At 39.9% G+C, this 25,120-nt stretch overlaps 1 protein-coding gene across 20 annotated transcripts in view, besides 4 other annotated features; it reads left to right on the top strand.

The window, feature by feature from the left end:
* Positions 1–25,120, top strand: part of PAK1 (p21 (RAC1) activated kinase 1) — a 207,993-nt gene that overhangs the window by 72,820 nt on the left and 110,053 nt on the right. The window contains exon 2 of one of the 20 annotated variants that reach the window (NM_001376282.1): positions 3,278–3,369. The exons of the other annotated variants lie outside the window; for them this stretch is intronic. The gene's annotated coding sequence lies outside the window, so the exon portion shown is untranslated. The remainder of the gene's footprint in view (positions 1–3,277; positions 3,370–25,120) is intronic. 20 annotated transcript variants of the gene reach the window in all.
* Positions 7,696–8,125: an enhancer, noted in NCBI's record as "active region_5305". NCBI's record gives its function as "activates an Ori minimal core promoter by ATAC-STARR-seq in GM12878 lymphoblastoid cells {active_cell/tissue: GM12878}" and the evidence as "EXISTENCE:reporter gene assay evidence [ECO:0000049][PMID:35858748]".
* Positions 7,696–8,475: a biological region, named in NCBI's record as "OCT4-NANOG-H3K27ac-H3K4me1 hESC enhancer GRCh37_chr11:77159760-77160530".
* Positions 7,705–8,475: an enhancer, noted in NCBI's record as "OCT4-NANOG-H3K27ac-H3K4me1 hESC enhancer chr11:77159760-77160530 (GRCh37/hg19 assembly coordinates)". NCBI's record gives its function as "activates a minimal SCP1, AML or CMV promoter by ChIP-STARR-seq in primed H9 embryonic stem cells {active_cell/tissue: H9 hESC(primed)}" and the evidence as "EXISTENCE:reporter gene assay evidence [ECO:0000049][PMID:30033119]".
* Positions 14,433–14,502: an enhancer, noted in NCBI's record as "active region_5304". NCBI's record gives its function as "activates an Ori minimal core promoter by ATAC-STARR-seq in GM12878 lymphoblastoid cells {active_cell/tissue: GM12878}" and the evidence as "EXISTENCE:reporter gene assay evidence [ECO:0000049][PMID:35858748]".

Genomic DNA, 25,120 nt, shown 5'->3' with positions numbered 1-25,120 from the left:
GTAGCTGTTAAAATCTCTGCTACTGACCTAACATTGAATCCTGTGGCCCTGCCATTTCCTGACTGTGATCTGGCCAGAGTAGTTTTAGTTAACCTCTGTGGTTTTGGTTTCCTTATACGTGAAATGGTACTAATAATAGTACCTGCTTTGGCTGGGTGCGGCAGTTCATGCCTGTAATCCCAGCACTTTGGGAGGCCGAGGCGGGCGGATCACAAGGTCAGGAGATTGAGACCATTCTGGCTAACACGGAGAAACCCTGTCTCTACTAAAAATACGAAAAATTAGCCGGGCGTGGTGGTGCACGCCTGTAGTCCCAGGTACTCGAGAGGCTGAGGCAGAAAAACGGCATGAACCTGGGAGGTGGAGCTTGCAGTGAGCTGAGATTACGCCACTGCACCCCAGTCTGGGTGGCAGTGCGAGACTCCGTCTGAAAAAAAAAAACAAAAAACCAAATAATAATAATTGTACCTGCATCCTATGTTTGTTATTAGGATTACATGAGGTAGTAGTTGTAAAGCACTTAGCAAATTTTGGCACATAAGAAGTCCTTAACAAATGTCGGCTATCATTATCATTACAGGATAGAGAAGCTAAAATGATTTTAAATGACTTCTGCTTTAATTTATAGCCCTGCCCTCAAAACCTTTGTTCCTAATTCTTCAATTAGAATATAAGCCTTGTGAAAACAAAGACCTTCTCTGCTTGCTTCTTTGTTGTCCTCAGCACCTAGACCAATTTTTAGCACATAGTAGATACCTAATAAATATTTGGTGAATTAATGAATTCTAGGGACATTTTCTCTGAATAACATCTAGGTTTAGATACTTGAATCTTTTTTTTTCCTTTACTGTTGTTTATATGAATATGCACTTAAAAAATAGTTTTTATGTTGTGTCTTTGATCTTTGTGGGTATCCTTGTTTCCTTCTACGTTGTAAGGCTCCAAGAGTGGGAGAGTGTGATGTCTACTATGGGAATCTCCCTATAGCTTCTAGTATGGTATTTTTTTTAAAATACAGTTATTAGTGCTTAGTAATTACTGACAACTGACTATAAAATTCACTTGTATTCAACATTAATTTTTTGAGCAAAAACTAGTATGTGCAGTGGTATCATTTCCAACTCTTTAAGAAGTTGTGAATTTGTAGGTGCAGGTGCAGTCTTTGGTGGCAAGAGACACCTTATTACTATTGTAAATGTTGATCTTTGCACTTGAAATAGCCCTCTCCTTCCTCTCTGTCCCTTTCTACCAGATGACATACCCCTCATTCTTCAGAGCTCAGTCTCCTGTCAAGTCTTTCTTCCTTTATGTAAGTCTTTCTTCCTCTTTTTGTAAATCTCTTCATGGAGGTAGTGGATAACTTTTGCAAATGGGGTTATTTTGAGGGAGGACATTCCACACTGATAGAAGAGCTGATGCAAAGACATGGTAGGAAAGGGCCAGGTGTCATGGGAATATGATAGTAAATATTATATGCTATCTTATTTGTCATGGCTCTTATTAATAGGGGCAAACAGGAGAGTCCATTCTAGCAAGTTTAAGCAAAAAAGATTTATTAAAGGATATCAGAGAGATTTAGGAATCTTTGGGAGAGTTAAAGAAATGGACCCGGCTGGGCTTCCAGGAACAAACTCCCCAAACTACATTGAATAACTGAGTCCCCAAGGATGCTGCTCTTTGCCAGAATCAGGAACCTGTTGCTACAGTTGCTAGATAGAGAACTATGCTGCCTCTGCTGCAGTTTGTTCCAGCAAAAGGGATGTCCTGTGCTAGTCTCTCCCATCATCCAATTTAGTTCTAATCAGTATCTAGTCTGAGAGCATCTGAATGGTGGAACCTAAATCACATTTAGAAGGAAATCTGAGAAGTAATGTTTTTTTTTTTTTTCAACCTCTGTAGTGCCTACTAGGCTAGAAAGGAGTTGGAATAGGTGTTGAGCAAAGCAGTGTATACATTATGCCCTAGAGAATATTCAGGTGGCTGTACCCTCTTCTAGTACCAAATTGTGTATCATTTGGAATTCGGTAAACAGAAATTCTGACTCAAATTTGGCTTAAATCATGTTGACGTTTTTATCATGCTTGTGTTACCTTTATCCACAAGCCGGCTTCCATCATGGTAGTAAATTGGCTGACAAGACCAGCTGGGGAGATAAGCTTCTTTATTCACCAGTGGATGAGAGAGACAGAGAGAGAGAGAGAAAGGGAGAGAGACTGACTGATTTTATTTCAGAAAATGGACAAAAATTTCTTCTCCTCAGTGAAATTGAACCAGTAGAGACCACCTGCCCATCCCTGAACTACAAGAATTTCTAGGGACATGCCAGGTACTGATTGAGTAAACCTAAATCTGATTCAAGAACTAATCACTGGCAAGGAGAATGGAATTACCATGTTTGGTTTGGATGTACAATCAGGGCCTGCTCTTGGAGCTAGGAATGGGGTCAGCTTTCTCTGAGAACAGTGCTTCTCAAAGTGTTGTGTTCTGGGAACTTGCTAAAAATGCAAATTCTGGAGCCACATCTCAGACTTATGAATCAAAAACTCTGGGTGTGGGGCCCAGGAATCTGTGTTTTAACAAGCCCGCCAGATGATTTTGATTTCATGCTAAAATTTGAGAACTGCCTTAGAAACTGTTTGATGAGGGATGAATACCTGATAAAAAAAAAAGTCTGGGCTCTGTTAGGGAGAAGAAGGGAATGGATGCTGGGTAGGCAGCCAACAGCATCCATTTCAAAACTGGAAAGACGGATAGGGACCAGTTCATGAGGAATCTTGAATGTCTAGCTCACAAGGTGGTGGTGGTTGTGAGATATAAAACCGGATAATGTGTGTCTGAGGGACTTGTACAATGAAGGAGATAGGTTATAATAGGGACAGAGTATATTGAACTTGGAGCCAGAGTTTGGATTCTCATCCTGGTCTTTTTACCTCATTGAGCTTCGGGCTCCCCTTCTGTAAAATAGGGAATATAACCACTGGGGTGTTGAGACAATTAAATGGACAAATATATGTGGAAGTGCCTAGTACGTAATTTAGCATATTAATAGGTAAAGAGCTACAGAATATGAATGATGATACTTGGCTAAGGTAGTATGAATTTTATTTATTTGTTTATTTATTTTTCAAGACAAGGTCTCGCTCTGTCACCTAGGCTGGAGTACAGTGGCCTGATCATAGTTCACTGCAGCTTCAACCTCCTACTTCAGCCTGCCAAGTAGCTGGGGCTACAGGCACGTGCCACCATACCCAGTTAATTTTTTTGTATTTTTTTGTAGAGATGGGGTTTCGCCATATTGCCAGACTGGTCTTGAAGTCCTGAGTTCAAGCAATCCTCCTGCCTCAGCCTCCCAAAGTGCTAAGATTACAGGTGTGAGCCACCGCACCCAGCCTGGTGTTGGATCTTTGATCATATTCAGATCAGCTCTGGTTTAACTGCATGAACATGGGTTCTGCTCTGCAGTCTTACCCTGGGGCATTATATGAATTATTTGGCTGTTACAGGGATAGTGCAGTTCCTTTTGCTCTTATAACTAATATGTATTCAGCTTGCTGTGACCATACATATTTTATGTTCTTCCCTGGCACTATAATTCATTCCTTTTTATTTTCTCCTGTGAGGTAATTAAAATTTGTAATACCATGCCCTTTTCCCCCTTGTTTTTTTTTTTTTTAATATATCTCACATTTTCTAAATATAGAATACTTACAAGTTCATGTTAAGTTTCAGTGGGAAAGGTGTTTAGAATCAGTTTGGACTCTCTCCTTTGCTTTATATATAAAGAAACTAGGACAGACAGGGAAATAATTTTTCCAAAAAAATTTTTTTTTTTCCTGAGACTGAGTTTTGCTCTTTTCGCCCAGGCTGGAGTGCAATGGCGCGATCTCGGCTCACTGAAACCTCTGCTGCCTGGGTTCAAGCGATTCTTCTGCCTCAGCCTCCTGAGTAGCTGGGACTATAGGCGTGCGCCATACACCTGGCTAATTTTTGTATTTTTAGTAGAGACGGGGTTTTGCCATATTGGCCAGGCTGATCTTGAACTCTTGACCTCAGGCGATCTGCTTGCCTCGGCCTCCTGAAGTGCTGGGATTACAGGCGTGAGCCACCGCACCTGGCCTCCAAAATCTTATATATCCCACTTCTTCCTTCTTCCTATTTCTTGGCATGGATGAATTTACATCTGGGGCTTTCATTTTTTTGTTCTGTAATACTAGTAAAAAGTCATTTGTAGATTGTTTAGATCTGATGGGATTTAGTTAAAGTCATAAGCCTGATTTGCTGTGAGGCAGGGCTGATGTGCCAACCTAGGAAGAGAGAAAGCTAGTGAATAGAAGTGTTAGGAATCCAGCAGAGGGAAAAGGGCCCTACCATGAACACACTCTTTACTCCTACTTGGCTTGTTATTAGATGTGCCAACCCTGTTATTAGGTGGCTTATGGCTTCTTCTTTCTTTATATCTAGGGTGTTTGAGGAAGGTAAATATGCCTTTTGAATGGGTAATTTCTACTCTTTGGTGCTGAGCATTTTCCACCTTCGTCTATACTGTAAATAACCAGTCTTTTTTTTTCTTTTAGAAAGTTACTGCTTGAGTGGCAAGGAAATTAGAGAAACTGCTTCTCATAGACTAGTTGGGTTGCTGGCTGAAGGGGACCCTAGGAGATGTCTAATTCAACACCCTTATTTTATGAATGAGAAACTGAAGCCAAGAGAAGAAAAGCAGCTCATTCAATATTATATAAGTTAGTTACAGAGTCAAGACCACATCTCAGCACTTCTGACTCCCTATTAAGTATATTTTTACTACACCTCTCTGCAAGGCAAGTGTAAGAGGAATTGTGGGGTAGTGTAAAGAGTGCAGATTTGAGGGCATGAGATCTGGGTACAAACTGTGGCTCTGCTACTTACTGACCTGTTTCTCAGAAAGTAATATCACTTCCTTAAGCACCAGTTTCCTATTTATAAAATGAAATTATGTTGATACTCTGCCTCACAGCGTTATCATTAGAATGAAATGTGAGATGCAGGGGAAAAAATGAAATGAAGACTTTAAAGTGGACGTGGCCAATTTACTTATGAATTTTTAGCTCCATCACTTATTAACTGTGTGATTTTGGGCAAGTCACTTAATTTCTGTGAACGTAGTTTTTTCTTTGTAAAATTGAGACAATAATAGCTCTCTTACAGGGTTGTTTTGAGGACATTAATATATATAAATGTAGGGGAAAAGAAATATTTTTCCCATTGCTATGTTCATGGCTGAGGCTCCTGTAGCAAAAGACATTAACGAGAGAGGTCGGGCGTGGTGGCTCACGCCTGTAATCCCAGCACTTTGGGAGGCCGAGGCAGGCGGATCACCTGAGGTCAGGAGTTCGAGACAGCCTGACCAAAATGGTGAAACCCCGTCTCTACTAAAAATACAAAAAATTAGCCGGGCGTGGTGGTGGCGCCTGTAGTCCCAGCTACTCGGGAGGCTGAGGCAGGAGAATGGCATGAACCCAGGAGGCGGAGCTTGCAGTGAGCAGAAATCGTGCCACTGCACTCCAGCCTGGGCGACAGAGCAAGACGCCGTCTCAAAAAAAAAACAAAAAAAAACAAAAGACATTAACGAGAGAAAAGCAAGCAAATATATTTAATACAAGTTTTACATGACATAGGAGCCTTCATAAGGAAATGAGGATGCAAAGAAACAGGCAAACTTGTGTATTTTTATGTTTAGGTTTGATGGAAGAAGTGGGTAGTCTTGGAGAAATATGATTGGACAAAGGCGGTATGATGTAATGGTAATAGGATCAGGGTTGGAGGGAACTTAGCAAGGCTGGTTTGTTCAGATTTTTCTGTATGTCCCTGTGTCTTCAGAGAAAAATGAGGCTTTCCTCTGGGAATAAGGAGGGTACCTCTTGAATGAGGATCTGATTACCTGCTTCAGGGGAGAAGGGTGAGGGGAAGCTGAGAGTGAGAATACTTTCTTGCGTCTGCTGTTTTCTCATATGCTAAGATGTCATATTTTGGGGTAGCATGTCTTGAACCCCATTATAAAGAATCAAAGTGGTGGCTGGAACATAATAGGTAGTCAGTAAATGTTTGAGATATTCTCAGAAGACTTAGTTCTGTCTTCTCAAATGGTTTCCCTAAAGTCTTAAAATAAATACATCAGAACTTCTTGTTCTGTGGTTTTAAAGTGTTTTGTGGAGTTTGATTCCAGAGGCTATAGGTGGTGTAAGGTATGAGCTTTGCTGTTAGTCAGATTTCCATTCTAAACTCCTGTGGCACATAGGCAAGCTCTTCTGCCCAGAGAAGGGCCTCTAGAGATGGCAGGTTTTGTGGTAAATGGATTGAAAAAGAGGAGGAGGAAACTTGGTAACTGGGAAACTTGGGTCACTTCTGCAGGCAGTTGCAGCCCACTGAATAGCAGTATGTCAGGACCTTAGTGGTGAAACCATTTTTCATTGTGATCTCTGTCTCTGTTATTCTAAGTGTCTCAAAAACTGGAACCATGTCTAAGTCCTCTGCTGTTTCAACACCTGACCCACAGTAGATATGCCAATGTATTTTTTTGAAATAATATCTATCTAAAGTGGAGAACTTCTGTGGCCCATAGAGTTCCATAAATCCCTAATGGCTCCTAATTCTTCACCCCAGCTTCACCTTGCAGAGATATTTGTATTTAACAAGGATTTTCTAGTCTTTAATCATAAGGATTTGCAGGATTTCAGGTCTTGGGTTTTTTAGGCCTTGCTCTGCTGCCTACTTCCCTTTGCAAATATGGTCAGGCCAGACAGCTATTTCCTTCATCCCTAGTCATTGTGTGGGACCTGCCAGGTTCTTTCGGGTTTTTAATGCTGGGGTGGTATTTGTGGCTTTAATGCACAAGAGTTGGGGAGCATGAAACCCACATGATCAGGTAAACATCATTCTCTCAGTGGGTCCAGGGTTATGAGAAAACATAATGCTGGGATGTTCTTTCTTCCCAACTCTACCCCTAGAATTGATACTTTTATGTAAGCCATTAATTCAGTAAATACCTTCTGAGCATATATACTGTGGATCAGACATTCTGCTGGGTGCTTTAAATAATTATCTTTCCAAATACTCACAAGTTAATACTTTGAGTTAGACTGAGGGTATTGCCTTCAATTTCGCAGAAAAGGAGTCTGAAGTTTAGATGAAAGGAAATGACTTGCCTTAGCTAGTAAAGGGCAGACCCAGGATTTGAAACCAAGTCTTCATGACTAAAAGATAATCATTGATTGTCATGCTTGTCTATGCTTTCAGAATGGGAAGCTCCTTGAAGATGCATGTCTGATTGAATTTTTGCTCCCTGTTCTCAGCACAGGGGCTAAAACAGAATTTTTAAAAAATTGAATATGTAATACATTGGAAAGTCCTAGATAGAATAGGGGAATTGGGGTGAGGGTATTGAGAAACTGTTTCCTAGTCCACATTATTTCCCTGGAGAAGCTCCAGTCCTTAGGGTGATTTTTTTTTTTTTTTTTTTTTTACCTATAGGATTGAAAAGGAAAGCATTATTCATTCCAGCAACCCATAAGGAAAACTAACACAAACATTGTAATGCTTTAAAGATCTTCGTGTCTCATTGGGAAAATAACACCTCCTTCACTGTGTTATTTTGAGGAAAAGTGAGATGATAAAAGAGTCTGCCTGAACTCTAACGTTTTATGTTAAGTTGTTTTCATGCCTGGCTTTACCTGCCCTATCCCCTTTCTGGGCTTCAGTTTCTCTATGTGTACAGTGAGATGTTGAACTGAATGGTCTTGCTGCTCTTCCTTCCTTCATTAACATGAGAACAGATAGTTGATGCCTCTGATGTTCATGTTGTTCCCATTGCCCTTTTCTCTTTAAGCGCACTGCCTAGTTTCCTTTAAAGTCGTTGCCTTCTTTAGTTTTCTTTTTAAGCTGTTTCTGTGTGGGCTAGTGTTCCCTTTTGAGGTTGAATTGAATTGTGTAAGGCCTCAGGAAGTGGTGGAAGCACCTTCCTCAAACCTGGTTGCACCAAAGGCCCATCAAGTCAAGTCTTGTCCCCAAAGAGGAAGAGAAAGCCTGGGGTTCTTAGCCCAGGCTAAGATTGAAGGAGTTTCTCTTTCGAGCTTTCTGGGTTAATTTCAAAACGTACAGGAGGGACATTTTCTTTTAAATTTCAAACACTCACCCTGTATATCATTAATATTCCTTAGCCATTTTTGTATAATATCATTTTTTAATTTCTATCCACCTTCTTAAATCTGTCCCTTGGGTCAGACAAAATGAATTCAACCTTTCCTCCACATGACAATTCTTTATAATCACAATAGTGATTTTATTACTGTTCTTCTCCAGCTAAATAGTTTCAAGAGTTTCTCAAATGACTACCTCTTTTTGCCTATTATACCACTTTGCTTTCCACAAAAAACTTCCCATGGGTAGTCCCTTCCTCATGCTAATCTTATTTCTGGTTCTGTATAACCTATCACTTCTTTGTAAGTTTTCACACTATTGCTGAAATAAGCCAAACATTCTTTCTCATGTTCCCTTAACTTGGGTCTCATAGCATTTTGTTTGTTTAACATGTTTTCCTTTGCTTGCTGTCCTTACACTCAACAACCTTCAAGACCAAGTTCAAATATCTGTCTCTGATGCCTTCTCTGACATTGTCCTCCTGTGCCAGGCAGAATTAGTATTTCTTCCTTCAGTGTTTATGTGTTACTCTGTTGTAATGGCTATGACATCATTTCTTATATTATATTTGTACTGTGTTATATTTTGTGTTGTACTGTATTGTAATTAATGTAATTTGTATATTCTACCTCTCCTTAAACACTTCTTCAAAACAACCCTTCCAAGGTTAGAAATACGTAGCAAATACCAGGTGGTCAATAAAAGAGGAAAGTACCACGCATTGAGTAACTTACTGCTGTGCAAGTTGCCTAATAAATATTCCCAATCCTCACAACAGGTCTCTGACATATTTTTCCATTTTTTCCCATATGAGTCTCCCATTTTACATATGAGGTAATTGAGGTCCAGAGAGATTAAATGATTAATTTCTGATCTCACAGCTGGTAACTCAGACAGAATTGGGATTCAAACCCAAGCTTGCTGATTCCAAAGCTTGAGTTGTGTTTGGAACTATTCTTCTGACTCCTAATTCAGTATTCTTTCTGTGCACATCAAAAACACACAAATTGAGTATGTAGATGTGTTTAATGCAGTGATGGACTAGAGTTCAAATGGGAGTGTGGTGGAATGAGGAGCAAATAGCTGTGGTACTCTCATAATTGTGTATTAAGAAATAGCCCTAGAGTTATTAATGCCTTAATTGCAACTGTAGGCAATTCTGTAATTTGGCATTTTAAAATGAATCTATTTTGGCTGGGCATGGTGGCTCACGCCTGTAATCCCAGCACTTTGGGAGGCTGAGGTGGGCGGATCACCTGAGATCAGGAGTTTGAGACCAGTCCGGCCAACATGATGAAACCCCCGTCTCTACTAAAAATACAAAAATTAGCTGGGCGTGGTGGTGGGCGCCTGTAATCCCAGCTACTTGGGAGGCTGAGGCAGGAGAATCGCTTGAACCCGGGAGGTGGAGGTTGCAGTGAGCTGAGATCGTGCCACTGCACTCCAGCCTGAGCGCGAGACTTCCCCTGAAAAAAAAAAAAAGAATCTGTTTCATCTTGTTAGCAGATATAACAACACCTACCTTTGGACATGTTCTGTTCTAAAAAGGGATGAAAAGCTGCTTCTCTCACACTACCACGGGCAAGATAGATGAGCTCAGCTTTGACTTGAAACAGTGTTAGTGCTTATGAAATCTTTCGCCTCCAAGTTTTGTCCTATTTTTGTTAGGTGCTGGTAACCTACCTTTCAGAGCTATAGAATCAGACAATGGGAATAATGGGATTCTTATCCCAACTATTTGAACAGGTTCTCACCAGGGAGAGCCCAAACACAAAGGACCTTTTTGGAGTTGGTAAAGAAGGCCAAAATGTAGACCCTGGGAAACACCTCTGCCTCCTTGTTTTGTGGCATGGGCTGCTGATTCATCCTATATTCTTTTAAGTTGGCTAATAGCGGATGTGTTATAGAAAGGTAACAAAAATAGGATCTAGCTCTTCTTATCTCTGTGTGGTTTTGGGTAAATGATTTATACTTCCTATGTCTTTATGTGTTTTAATCCAGTGATTCTTTCCAGGTGAAGGGATCCTGTTGTACAGGGACCACACATCTTTGCTGCTCAGGGACTATGCAAGGCTCTAGATTACAGCTTCTTTTGCTCTCCTTTTTTGTTTTTTTTTTTTCTTTTTGTCACAGCTCCCCTATTCACTATTATTCTAAACAGTTTTTGAAATCTCTTACCGTCTGATGTCCCCTCACCCATTCTCTTTATTGTTGAGGTTCATACCTCTTTTATAGCTTTACCATCATTTTAGAGTGATTTTGGGAGGGAACATAAGTAAATGTGTTTTCAATCTGCCAATTTTAACTAGAAACAAACTTCAAAGGAAGTTAAACCAATAGAAAACTGAAGTTGCATTTATATCTAGAGTTATAAAAACTTTACCATGAAAGTACATGAGAGGATAGACCTTTCAATGAGATGTTCTGGATTCAAATCTTAGCTCCATCATCTATTAACTATATGACCTTGGGTCTGAACTTTCTTTTTTTTTTTTTTTTTTTTTTTGAGACAGGGTCTCGCTGTTTCACTCAGGCTGGAGTGTAGTGGCATGATCTTGGCTCACTGCAACCTCTGTCTCCTGGGTTCAAGTGTTTCTCATGGCTCAGCCTCCTGAGTAGCTGGGATTACAAGCCTGCACCAGCATGCCTGGCTAATTTTTGTATTTTTAGTAGATTCAGGGTTTCGCCATGTTGGCCAGGCTGGTCTCGAACTCCTGGCCTCAGGTGATCCACCCACCTCGGCCTCCCAAAGTGCTGGGATTACAGGTGTGAGCCACCGTGCCCAGCCTGGGTCTGAGCTTCTTAATAAAGGATAGGCCAGCACAGCCTAGCATAGAGACAGTGAGTCAAACATTTTAATATCATGAACAACAAATATTATATTTATTATCTGCTGCATGCTAGTGCTAGACCCTAGAGATACAAAGATGACTAAGATTCACTTCCTTTCTTGGAGAAGCTTGCAGACTAGTGGCAAAGAAAGAGAAAATAATACTTTAGGAACTGTTGATTGAGCATGTACTATGAACTGTGATAAGTACTGGAGATATAAAGATGAATGAGACAGTTTCAACCCTGAATGTGCTTATTGTATAGTGGGGGTGGGGTGATGAGAAGGAGCCCTGTAAATCAATAACTAATACAACGGACAAGGGAGAATAGGGCATTTACGATCAAGAAGGGAGAAGTGGTATCTGTAAGTTGAAGAAGATACCGCTTCAGGATTGCACTACATGATCTTTAAGCTCTCTCTTGGCCCCAAACAGTCCATGATTCTATATGTGATAGATATTATGTATATAAAAAGCTCATGAAGAGAAATGTAGATTTTTAAATAGCTCACTCCGGTGTGAAACAGAATTAGGGAAGTAGGAAAAGTGATTTTCTGGTTATCACATTCTAAAACAACAGTGGTTGTTGAACATTTTCCAGAAAGTGATCAAGAGAGCAAATGTTTCCTGAATACCTTGCCTGAGGTCAGTTTTTCCCTAAGAATGGTAGATGATACCAAAGAAGTATAAAATAGTGTTTCTGCCCTTAAAAAACTTTGATTTCATTAAGAATGTAGGATATATACACTAAAAATAAATTGAACAGTGCCACCAAATAAACTGGGTACAAACTTTAGTAGTTTAGAGAAAGGTGGCTGTATTAGTTTCCTAGTGCTGCTGTACCACAGATTGGGTGACTTAGAAAAACAGAAATTTGTGGTCTCTCAGTTCTAGAGGCCAGAAGGTTGAAATCAAGGTTTTTGCAGGTCCACCTCTGGAGGTGCCTGGCCTCTATCCTAGTTTCTGTTACCCTCTGGCCTTTCTTGGCTTATGGATGGCTTCTTTTCCCTTTGTCCTTTCACCTAATCTTATCTCTGTGTGTGATTGTCTCTTGTGTCCAAATTTCCCCTTTTTATAAGGACACCAATTATATTGGATTAGGGTCCACCCTAATGACCTCATTTTAACTTGATTACGTCTGTAACTACTCTAATTCCAAATAAGGTCAATCCTAAGGTATTGGTGGTTAGGATTTTAACATTTTTTTTTTTTTGAGACACAATTCAACCCATAACAGTAGGCTGGATGGTCAGGAAAAGAACTTGGTCAGGTAGGATTTGGATTAGCAGAGAGAAGTAGAGATATTGTGGGATAAGTCCTTGCAGTATTCAGACCTCCATCAGAGGACACTTGAGGTGAATTCATCTTGGTGGAACCAAGGAGTTTTGAGATCCCCCAAACAGGGACATTTGGAGGAAAAAGACAACTTCAGTTTTTTTACTTAGTTGTTTTTGTGTATATTATACTATTGTGGGCAGCTTTTCTTTTTCTAGAAGCAATTTTGTTGCTGTATGCCACATTTCTAGTCATGACCATTAAGATGTTGATTGCATGGTATATAACAATTTATTCTTAGGCAACAGAAATTAAATTATTTTAACTTACATGGCCATTCACAATAATAGAAGATGTTTTGCTTCGTAATTGTGATGAGTTTACAAAGAGTTAGATGGCTTCACTCAGAGAATTTCACATTAGAAAACGAGGGTGAATCAGGACATTTCTCAATCTGTGGCTCTGGGGGTTAGGCCAATAGTTTTTGAGCATGACCACACCCGGGAAACTTAAAAATATAAGCTTCCTGATGATACCCACGTCCCACCCTGGACCAAATAAGTTAAATTTGGGGGATGGTGGTTGGTATGGGACCCAGGCGTCGGGTTTTTTTTTTTTTTTTTTTAGAGCTCTCCAGGTTTACGTACCTGGTTGCAGCTCACTGGGTTAGGAGAATAAGAAGGAAACTGGATTCTTGTCCTTGCTGTGACCTTTTGGCCATTCCCTAAAACTTTCCAGTTTCAAGTACATCTCTTCTGAGAATAAGGAAATCTAGGTATATTATGTCTGAGAATAAAGAAATCTAGGTATATTGTGTCTGGCAAGTTCCATCTGTTTAATAACCATGGGTAAGTCACTGGAATTCTTTTTGAGTCTCAGTTTGCTCATTTATAGAAGAGAGATAATTGAAACTGCTCTCCAGTGTTGCTGTGACAATAAAATATTTGCAGATATTTCAAAATGCTATGTAGACTCCAGAATACTATATACTGTAAATGTGAGGGGTGTTTTATTTTCATTGACAGACAACTTGCTGAAGATATCACAGCTGCTTGGTGCCCTAGACAGGTTCAGAATTCTCACCTTCTGAATCTTTTAATTTTCTCATTAATTTGAACTGTGATTTTGCTTCCTTTTTCTTTTATTAAGTTGTACCTGAATGCCTTCTGTTTTGGATACTTCGAGATCCCTTGGTGTCATTAAAAGCTTACTGAATTAATGGAAAAAACATGGTCTTTAGAGTTGCATGAATTTGAGGTTCAATCCTGGCTCCATTAATAACCAAATCATTTTAACCTCTTAAGTTTCAGTTTTCCTGTATGTAAAATGGAGTATTACATGGGAAATAATGTAAATGTACTTAGCATTTTGCTTGATACCTAATAAGCACTGGTGATTATGGCTTCTTGTTATTATGAGGGGCAGTAATAGAGGGGGATACTTACATTACAGTTGGATAAGGGTTGTAGTAGAGGCCTTTCCATTTGACTTCACTGAGCAGAGCCATCTCCTTGTGGTGGCTGTTGGGAATGGGCTTGCTGGGGAGTCTTCCACAGTCTATTATAACAATCTTACTTTGTATAATTCTTTTTTTTTTTTTTTTTTTAAGAGACGGAGTCTCACTCTGTTGCCAGGCTGCAGTGATCACGGCTCACTGCAACCTCTGCCTCCTGGGTTCAAGTGATTCTCCTGCCTCAGCATCCTGAGACTACAGGCGTGCGCTACCACACCCGGCTAATTTTTGTATTTTTAGTAGAGACGGGGTTTTACCATGTTGGCCATGATGGTCTTGATCTCCTGACCTCGTGATCCACCCACCTCGGCCTCCCAAAGTGCTGGGATTACAGGCATGAGCCACCAGGCCCAGCCTACTTTGTATAATTCTATACTGTTTTAGATACTTTTAGAAACTATTCTCATTTAATCCTCACAATAATCTGCAAGGAAGGTGATATCTCTGTATCTTCAATAAGGAAACCATGGCTAAGAGAGATGAAATGAATTGCACAAGGTCACCTTGTGAATAAGCAGCAGAGACTGTTGTTGTTTAAGGAGAAGCCCCAAGCCTTGAGGCTTTGGGTTTCATTTCGGCTGGACTTTTGGTTTCATGATCGGGGCTTTCTGATGTTAACCCAGGAAACCTTAGTTTGATGGTTGTATTAGTTATCTATTGTTGTGTAGACAAATTACCTGCAAAACTAGCAGTTTTAAAAAAATAAACATTTATTATTTCACACAGTTTCTGAGGGTCAGGAATCTTAGAGTGGCTGGGCTGGGTGGTTCTGCTTCACTGTCTGTAATGGGGTTACAGCCAAACTGTTGCCCAGGACTGCAGTCATCTGGAGGCTCAAGCAGGGCTGGAATGAACTCCTTCCAAGTTCACTCATGCCGTTCATTGTTGGCCAGCCTCAGTTTCTTCCTGGCTGTTGGCTAAAAGCTTCAGTTCTTTGCCATGTGTGCCTGTCCATAGGGCAGGGCAGTTCACAGCATATCAGCTGGCTTCCTCAAAGAAGAGATCCAAGAGAGAGGAGAGTAATCAAAACAGAAGCTGCTGTGTCTAATGTAATCAAACTTCAGAAGTGACATACCATCACTTCTGTTGTATTCTTTCAGTCACATAGACCAACCCTGTGGGAGAGGACTCTACAAGGATGCAAATACCAGGAGACAGGGAACATAGGGTACTATCTTAGAGGCTGGCTACCTCCAAGTAGTGGTTTTCACAGTGGTAGAAAAATTTTGAGACCAGGCTATACATATCATGTATTAAGGAATTAACTTTAATAAACAGGTTAAGATTCTATTCCATGTTCCAGGCATGGTGGATATGAGGAGAATTCCCATATGTCTTTAAGGGATAGTTTCTGAGGGTGAAGGGAGCAGGGATTCCTTCAGAAGCCTTCTGGGTCTCATTTTTCTACTATTAATTTTTCTAAGTTGGTAACACAACCATGCCTGTTTTACCAGCAACCAGACACTTTCGTGAGGGTCGGGAACACAAGAAGATTTCTTTGCTATTGGGTGTTACCTGGTGATTTGGTCCTTGCAGGTCTGAGCATTTTGACTCTTACTTGTGGAGAAAATTAGCTGATGAAACTGTGCATCTCCAATACTTAATGCTTTTAAAAACTCACATTCAGTTTTACATGATCATCTCAAAGGAGTAGTGATGAGATGGGAAATCAGCTAACCTTGAAGTCAGTACATCTGGGTTTGAGTTCTTGCTTTGCCACTAACTGACCATGTGATCCTAAGTCATGTTCTCTCTCTGGACTGCAGTTTCCTTAAGTATAACAAGGAAGTGTTAAACTAGGGCTTTGAAGTGGAGCCTCACAAGCTACCTGGGTAAGGTTGGGAGGTGAGAAGAGGCTGAGGAAATAGAACTTATCCACCTCCATTTCAGCCAGAGAAGCTCTACTTTTCGTCTGTTGAAATATTGGCATTACTGTAAGATTTGATTGGAAAAAGAGGTAGAGAGACTTTACAAAAAAGCTTGGAAACCACTGGATTGAGTGATTGAATTCTCAAAGGACTTCTCAGTGAAAAGAAATGGGTTGGCTTTTCTGATGCCATTGAGCAAGGACTAGCCCAAGGGGTATGGGATTACCCTCCTTTTTACAGATAGGATGGCAGAGAAATGGACCTAGATGTCTCTAAGAAACTTAGGCCTTTTCCTCACCTTCTTTCCTTTAGATTTTTTTTTTTTTAAGACGGTATTTGGAGAGATGGGCATTAAATACCGATGGCTGCATCTCCTGTCTCTAAGCTGATTGAAGCTTCTTCAGGAACAGGATCCAGGTCTGCAGGGCTAAAGGCCTTCCCTTGAAAGGCAGAGTATGGTACAGGCCTCTTGGGAGAGGAGGGGGTCAAGTGAGTTAGCAGCAGGTGAGAAGGACTGGTCTTCTAAGTTGGTCTCTGCCTCCTTTGGATTATTTAGCTGTAAACATACTTTCCCTGGCCTATATGGATCCCCAAGCCCATCTAGCTTTTGGAGAACAAACTAATGGAGGAGGTAGAGGTGGGAGGAGCAGGTAGAGGTGGGAGGAGCAGGTAGAGGTGGGAGGGGCAGATAGAGGTGGGAGGAATTCAGATGAATCTTGCTTCCAGCAGCTTAGAAGGTCTCTTGTTTTTTGGTGGCTTCAATGCATATTGTTATTTCCCTTGCTGTATACAGCAGGTCTTTACTAGCTGATTGAAGCTTATCTCTAATCATCTTTTCCCTACTGTCTGTTTTCTTTCTTTCCAAGTAAATATTCTATTTTGGAATAGAAGCCTGGAAATTAATGGTTTAGTAGAAAGATTCTAAGAGTTCTATTTAGAATCAGCAGAGGTGAGTCAAGTTCCAGGTTTTCTATTTACCTGTGTGACTATGGGCAAGTTTTTTAACCTTTCTCAGTTTGTTTCCTCATTTATAAATTAGGATTGCTGTGAAGATTAAAGGATATAGGCATGTTAAGTATGGTACTTACCCTTATAGTAAGTGCCCTTATAGTAGGTGCTAAGTATTTATTATTATTTTTGTTCTTTATTTTTTATTTTTAGAGATGGGGGTCTCACTATTTTGCCTAGGCTGGTCTCAAAACTCCTGGCCTCACACTATTCTCCTGCTTCCGCCTCCTCAGTAGCTAGGATTATAGATGCGAGGCCCTGCACCTGGCTATTTTTGTTCTCGTATGTTTGAAAGTTTAGGATAGATGCTAATTAAATTCTAAAAAATACCATTTTATAGCAGAGTAACAAAATCAGTACTGAAGAAATTTTTCAAATGATCTTTTCTGATATATTCATTTTATACTTGGAATTGGTACATTTTACACTTGGCTCAGAGTGAAGCAGTGAATGGTCCAACGTTACCTGTGGAGGCACCGGGGATTAAGTTTATAATACCTGATTCTCCGATGACAGGTGTACCTTAGACTAGTCTGGGTGACTGGGGCTGGATTAAATATCCATACTAGGTTTCTAACTTTATGCTTTGAGGGCCATTGATTTGTGTGACCTGAGAAGCCAGTGGCTACCTTGAGCTTAGGTACTGCTGAGTGGAGCCAATCTTATACCTTCCCACTCTCCTGAGAAATTTTCCCTGATACAGACCCAGGCACCTGATGGTTCTTGACAATTTAAATTTCCTTGACAATTTAGTCCTCTTTCCCTCTCCATATGTTAAACCCAGAAAAGAGAAGGCAAGTACAGTATAGCCATGATGTCTCTGGAAGTGAATGACCCATTGTACTGAGGTAGAGACATAGAAGGAGGGCAGGAGAAAGGATAGGACCAGAAAAGTCCTTGGGTATTTTTTTTTCTCTAGAAGTCTGCTAAGGGTTATTCTTTCTGTAATTGTCTGAAAAGAGAATTGTAGAATATTAGGGACTGAAATTTCCCTTTAGGGGCATCTAACACAACCTTTAACCCATGTTTGAACTCTCTCTTCAAAGTTCCTGCCAGGTAGTTTTCCAGTATCTGTGTACTTCCATGTTGGTGAGCCCTGTACTTCTAGAAGCAGGCATTTTCTTGGTTAGATATTTTGGCTTTCATTTTTTATTTTATGTATATATATAATTTTGGCTTTTAAAACTAGAAGTAGAAGCAGTTATTTTCTTGGTTAGATATTTTGGCTTTTTGGTTTTAAAAGCCAAAGCCCTAACTTTTAAAAGATAGAAGAGATAGCATGCTCCTCTATAGGGCTTCTAGTTTTAAAACTAGAGTAGAAGCACTCATTTTCTTGGTTAGATATTTTGGCTTTTTCTTTTAAAAACTAAACTAAAGTTTAGTTTGGCTTAAAAGCCAAAGTCCTAACATTTAAAAGATAGAGGAGATAGCATGCTCTTCATGGCTTCGAATCACTGGCCTCTCACATGAGGAAACAGGCTTAGGCAAATGAAATGATGTATATCGGACCATTGGGTGTGACTCTTCCACTCTGCCTCCAGCTAAGAGAATCAGGCAAGACAGAGACCCAGGAGCTCAGTTCTAGAGCCTCAAATTCATCCTCATGTCTTTGTGGGTGAGTGGTTTTTATTAAAATAATTTATTTTTTCATAGGCTTGCAGAATGTACTAGTACTAGAAAGAAATTTACTGATCATATAGTCTATTTTAATCACCATTTTATAGATTAATAACTGAGTTCCAGAGAGGTAAAGCCATCTGCCCAATGTCATACACAGAGGTTCTGTGACAGAACTGACGTTAGGACTGTGGTTTCCTGGTAGCAAGACCTAGATGTCTTTCCATAAACAGCTCTTTTAGAGAAGCTGTTACCAAGCTCTAAAACTATATATTTTTAAGTGCCATGTGACCTGTGTACCTTGAGATTTCTATTGGGAGCAACAGCATTAGTTAAAATTACACAGATTTCAGTCTAAAAATATCAAGTTGTTCTTCAGCCTAACACGAGAAGGTAAAGGGCTCCATCCACAAACATTTATAGAGCACCTAAAGAAGCTCATTGTCTGTTTTGGAGGCAAGCCTTTGATACAGTTTGGATATGTGTCCTGGGCCCAAATCTCATGTTTAATTGTAATCCCTAATGTTGGAGGTGGGGCTTGGTGAGAGGTGGTTGGATCATGGGAATGGATTTCTCATGAATGGTTTAGCACTATCCCCTTGGTGCTGTTCTCATGATAGTGAGTGAATTCTCATGAGATCTGGTTGTTTAAAAGTGTGTGGCACCTCTTGCACCCCTCTCTCTTGCTCCTGCTCTGGCTATGTGACGTGCCTGTTTCCCTCTTTACCTTCTGCCATGATTGTAAGTGTCCTGGGGCTTCCCCAGAAGGACAGGTCCTTGGGAAGGTATTTTAACTGGGGAGGGTGGGGACAGAGGCCAGTGCTGTGTTTGACCTCTGATGATGCTGGAAAAGAAATAGATGTTGTTTTCAAACTGGGTAGTCCAAGGAGAAGAGGGAGAAGGAAAGGAAATGCTTGTGAGGTACCTGAGACATATTGTTGAGTTAGCTCTTGGAAGCAGCACAAGTCTGGGAATCAGGAGACCTCAGTTCCAGTGCTGGCTTTCCTATTGAATATCTATTCTTTTGTAGATTACTTGCTCATTCTAAGTCTTGGAGATATCGAAAACATTTATACCTATCTAATAAAGTCTAGAAGGGAGATCCATATACTCTTAAAGAGTTCAGAGGAGTTCACGAGAGAACTTTTGTTTGATTTGTTTTAGTCTATATTTGAATTTCTCAATCTTGGTACTGTGTATATTTTGGACCGCATAAGTCTTTGGGGAGTATGGGGCTGTCCTGTGCCTCATAGGATGTTTAGTTGCATCCCTGTCCTCTGCCTGCTAGATGCCGGTAGTGGCTACCTCTTCCCCAAGACATGACAATAAAAAACATCTCTAGACATTGCCAAATGTCACCTGGAAGGCAAAATCAACTTTTGTTGAGAACCAGTGGTCTGTATTCATGTGAATTGTGGGGACAGCTAAAAGATAAAATTAATAATATTATTATAATCTTATTTAGCACTCACTGTGTACCAGACACTGTTCTAAGCCTTTATTTAATCCTCATAATAATCGTATAAGTTAGGTACTCTTACTATCACTGTTTCACAGATGAGGAAATTGAAGGAAAGTAAGGTTAAGTGAATTAATAGCAGTTAATGTTTTTCTAAGTATGTGTCAGGGACTGTGCTAAGTACCTGACCTATATGTTATCTCATTTAATACTTACAATCACTCTGTGAAGTGAGTTCTGATGTTATCATTGTTTTACAGATGGGAACAGATAGGCATAGATCTGTTGTGTGCCTAACCTGCTACTGAATGTTGAGGGCACACTAGAGTAAATGATTTACCTCTTTATCTTAATGATTTAGTGTTGTTATCCCAATTCATTGTTTTAGTTTCCAGACGACTTTTTCCTATTTTATCCTCAGAACAGTACTGTGAAATAGGTAGTATCATCCCCATTTTATAGATAAAGAAACAGACTCAGAGAAAGAGGCTTGTGTAAAATCTCATAGTAACTGATGCAACTGACTGGCATCTGTCGCGCATTTTAGTTTATTTGTGATTGACCATGATGCTTCCAGCTATACTAAGAAGCAGGCAGTCAGGTGACATACTGTACAGCAAAGAAATACTGAGTCCCTGTTTGAGATGGAGGGAGAGCTGAGAGAAGCTTCTTCTGATATGTAATTTGGAGTTTGCTGGTGAAGTTTTCTTCTGCATATGTGCTTTCCCACGCATATCTTACTTCCTGATTGGCACTGGCTGTGTATCACAAGTTGTAATTATGTTATAATTAGATTGTTTATTTCTTTAACATCTGACTTCTGCAGTGTTCTATCCTATAAGTTACATAAATGTAGGACTCTGTTTTGTTCACAGTATTCCAGCACAGTGTCTTGCATGCAGTAGTCACTTTATGAAAATTCTGAATCAGTAGGCACATGAGAGGTAATTAAGAGAGAGAGATAAATTGACTTAGTCAAGATTATATAGCAGTTTGGTAGCACTTCTGGGACTAGATCTGATTTTTTCTATCCTTAAGCCCAGAATTCTTTGTACAACATAGTGCTGCTTGCCACATGCCTATCATGATTAGAGCTATATGATTTTGCTCTGTGGTCTTAGCCAAATCTGTTGGTTTTCTTTTCTGTAAACAAAAGTATTAAACAGCTGTTCTTTTCTCCTTCCCATCTTTGGTTGCCCACCAGTGATATCCTGGTGTGGCCTCCAACCATAGAGTAAGTGTCTGCTGAGAAACAGGGAAACCTTACTCTCCCTGCCAACCTGGAACTGGGAATCATGTTATTTCTCCTGAACACCTTCCTATTTCAGTGGTGATGTGGCGGTCATGGTCTACCAATTGAAACAGAAAGCAGAGTTTGGATTATAGAGGAAGAAGGCAGTTGGAGTAGCTACTTTAACCCTTCTTTATTCAGAACTGCACTCTGAGTGCCTATGTACACATACTCTAGCGCCTTCTTACTCTTCATTATAAACATTGGGGTCTGCTCATTTTCCCTTTAGTTTGTTGGAAAAACACACAAATCTACTTAAATTAGTTGAGGAAAATGTCCTCTTCCATTTTCAGTTATTTTGTTCAGTAATACTAGTGATAAGGGATGTCTATTAAGAGAAAATATGTGGGCCGGGCGCAGTGGCTTACGCCTATAATCCCAGCACTTTGGGAGGCCGAGGCAGGCGGATCACGAGGTCAGGAGATTGAGACCATCCTGGCTAACATGGTGAAACTCCGTCTCTACTAAAAATACAAAAAAAAAAAAAAAAAAAAAAAAGCCAGGTGTAGTGGCGGGCGCCTGTAGTCCCAGCTACTTGGGAGGCTGAGGCAAGAGAATGGCGTGAACCCGGGAGGCGGAGCTTGCAGTGAGCCGAGATCAGGCCACTGCACTCCAGCCTGGGGGACAGAGTGAGACTCCGTCTCAAAAAAAAAAAAAAAAAGAGAAAATATGTGTCTCTGGAAATTAGCTATATGCAAGGCACTTCCATGTCTGTTTTCTTACATAATCTTCCAGCCACCTTGCGAAGGCAGGGATTACTATTTTTATCCTAACTTTACAGAGAAGCTAAGGTTCAGTGTGAAGTCATGATCATATAGATAGTGATAGACCAGGATTTGACCTCAACTTGACTGACCCTTTAAGTCCAGTGGGTATTCTTGCCATTCTACCATAGTTGTGTATGTGTGTATGGGTATGTTTAGCAGCTTTATTGAGATAATTCACATACCATGAAATTCACCTACTTAGAGTGTATACAATTCAGTGTTTTTTTTCTTGTTTCCGGTGGGGTTTTAATTTCAATTTTTTTTTTTTTTGTATATTCACAGGGTTGTACAAGTACTACAATCTAGTTTTAGAATATTTTGTCTTGGCTGGGCATAGTGGCTCATGCCTGTAATTCCAGCACTTCGGGAAGCTGAATCAGGAAGATCCTTTGAGCCTAGGAGTTTGGGAACTAGACTGGGCAACATAGGGAAACCCTGTCTCTACAAAAAAAAAATTCAAAAATTATCTGGGCCAGGCCTGGTGGCTTATGTCTGTAATCCCACCACTTTGAGAGGCCGAGGTAGGCAGATCTCTTGAGCTCAGGAGTTGGAGACCAGCCTGGGCAACATGGCAAAATCCTGTCTCTACAAAAAATACAAAAATTAGCCAGGCGTGGTGGTGCATGCCTGTAGTCCCAGCTACTCGGGAGGCTGAGGTGGGAGGATCAGTGGAGCCCGGGAGGCAGAGGTTGCAGTGAGCAGACATCATGCTACTGCACTCCAGCCTGGTAATAGAGTGAGAACCTGTCTCAATAAATAAGTAAATAAATAAAATTAGCTGGGCATAGTGGTGTCTCCCTGTGGTTTCAGCTACTTGGGAGGCTGAGGTGGGAAGATCGCTTGAGCCCAGGAGGTTGAGGTTACAGGTGGGCCATGATAGTTCCACTGCTCTCCAGCCTGGGGGTGACATAGCAATACCCCATCCCCTCTCCAAAAAAAAAAAGAAAAAGAATATTTTGTCCTCCTAAAAGAAACATGGATGTTGTAATGTGTGTTTTTCATTTTATTGCTAAATAATATTTGGCAGTATTTTTTTGCTGAAAAATATTCTATTGTATGGAATTCTGTTTATCTATGTAATTGTATTTACTGCTGAATTCTGTTGTATGGATATGCCACATTTTATTTATTCCTTTATCAGTTCATGGATATTTGGGTTGTTTCCATTTTTTGGCTGCGACTAATGCTACTATGAACATTTATGTACATTTTTTGTGTAGATATATATTTTCATTTACCTTTAAGTATATATTTAGGAGTAGAATTGCAGGGTCATGTGCTAACTCTATGTTTAACTTTTTGAGGAACTACCTGACTGTTTTCTAAAGGGGCTGTACCATTTTACATTTCCACCAGCAGTGTATGAGAGTTCTAATTTCTCCACATCCTTGTAAATACTTGTTACTATCTTTTTATTTTAGGCATCTTAGTGGGTGTGAAATGGTATCTGTCTCATATGGTTTTGATTTGAATTTCCTTAAAGACTAATGATTTTGAGTATCTTTTCATGTGTTTATTGGCCACTTGGATATCTTCCTGGGACAAATGTCTATTTAGAGCCTTTGTCCATTTTTAAATTGGTTTGTCTTTTTACTGTTTATTTATTTTTTGAGACGCAGTCTTGCTCTGTCGCCCACGCTGGAGTGCAGTGGTGCGATCTTGACTCACTGCAACCTCTGTCTCCCGTGTTCAAGCGATTCTCCTGCCTCAGCCTCTCCAGTAGCTGGGACTACAGGAGCGTGCCACCACGCCCAGCTAATTTTTTGTATTTTTAGTAGAGACAGGGTTTCACCGTGTTAGCCAGGATGGTCTTGATCTCCTGACCTCATGATCCGCCTGCCTCGGCCCCCCAAAGTGCTGGGATTACAGGTGTGAGCCACTGCGCCCAGCCTCTTTTTTACTATTATTATAAGAGTTCTTTATATATCCTGGATACAAGTCTCCTATCAAATATATGTTTTGCAAATATTTTCTCCAATTTTGTGGATTGTCTTTTTGCTTTCTTGATGACATTATTTATAGCACAAAAGTTTTTATTTTTGATGTAGTCCAGTTTATTTAGTTCTTCTTTTGTTGTTTGCTTTTGGTGTTATGTCTAAGAAACCATTCAGGGTCATGAATATTTACACCTATGTTTTCCTCTGAGAGTTTTATACTTTTAGCTCTTACAGTTAAAGCTGTGATCCATTTTGAGTTAGTTTTTCCATGTGGTATGAGGTGATAGAGGTCAATTTTCATTCTTTTGCATGTTTATATCCAGTTGTTTCAGCACCCTTTGTTGAAAAGACTATTCTTTCTTCGTTGCATTGTCTTGGCACTCTTGTTGAAAAATAATTGACCACAAACATAAGCATTAATTTCTTGACTCTCAGTTCCATTTAATTGATCTGTATCTTTATTCTTATGCCAATACCATACTGTCTTGATTACTCTAGGTTTATAATCAAGTTTTGAAATTGGGAAGTATTAGTCTTCTTTGTTTTTCTTTTTCAAGGTTGTACAAGTTTTACACTTCTGTTTTTCTTTTTGATGCTATTCTAAATGTTTTTTTTTTTAATTTCAGTTTTTGGATTGTTCATTGCTGTGTATAGAAATACAGTTGATTTTTGTATCCTGAAACCTTGTTGAACTTTTTAATTCCAACAGATTTTTTTTTTGGTGTTGATTCCTTAGAATTTTCTATATACAAGATTATGTCATCTGTGAATATAGATAGTTTTACTCTTTTTTTGAGACAGGGTCTCATTCCGCCACCTAGGCAGGAGTGCAGTGGTGCAATTGTAGTTCACTGCAACCTTGATTTCTTGGGTTTAAGCATTCCTCCAGCCTCAGCCTCCTGATTAGCTGAGACTACAGGTGCATGCCACCACAACCAGCTAAACTGCTTTTTTTCTAATCTAGGTGCTTGTATTTCTTTTTCTTTTCTTTATTTCTTTTTTTTTTCCACCTAATTGCTCTGACCAGAACCTTCAGTGCAATGTTAAATAGAAGTGGCAAAAATGGACATCTTTGTCTTGTTTCTGATTTTAGGGAGAAAGCATTCAGTTTAGTATGATATTAACTGTGGGTTTTTCATAGATGCCTTTATCAGATTAAGGAAGTTGCCTTCTATTCCTCATTTCTTGAGTATTTTTTTTGTAAGAGGGTATCAGATTTTGTCAAATGCTTTTTCTGTGTCAACAGAGATAATTCTATGGCTTTTTCCCTTTATTGTGTTATTATGGGGTATTAATGAATTGATTTTTTGGATATTAAAACAACCTTGCATATCTGGAATCATTATGTCATACTACAATTACTTGTTGAGCACCAACTGTTT

Source organism: Homo sapiens, chromosome 11 (assembly GCF_000001405.40).
Source record: "Homo sapiens chromosome 11, GRCh38.p14 Primary Assembly".
Lineage (NCBI taxonomy): Eukaryota > Metazoa > Chordata > Mammalia > Primates > Hominidae > Homo > Homo sapiens.
This window is presented reverse-complemented; position numbering and strand designations above follow the sequence as displayed.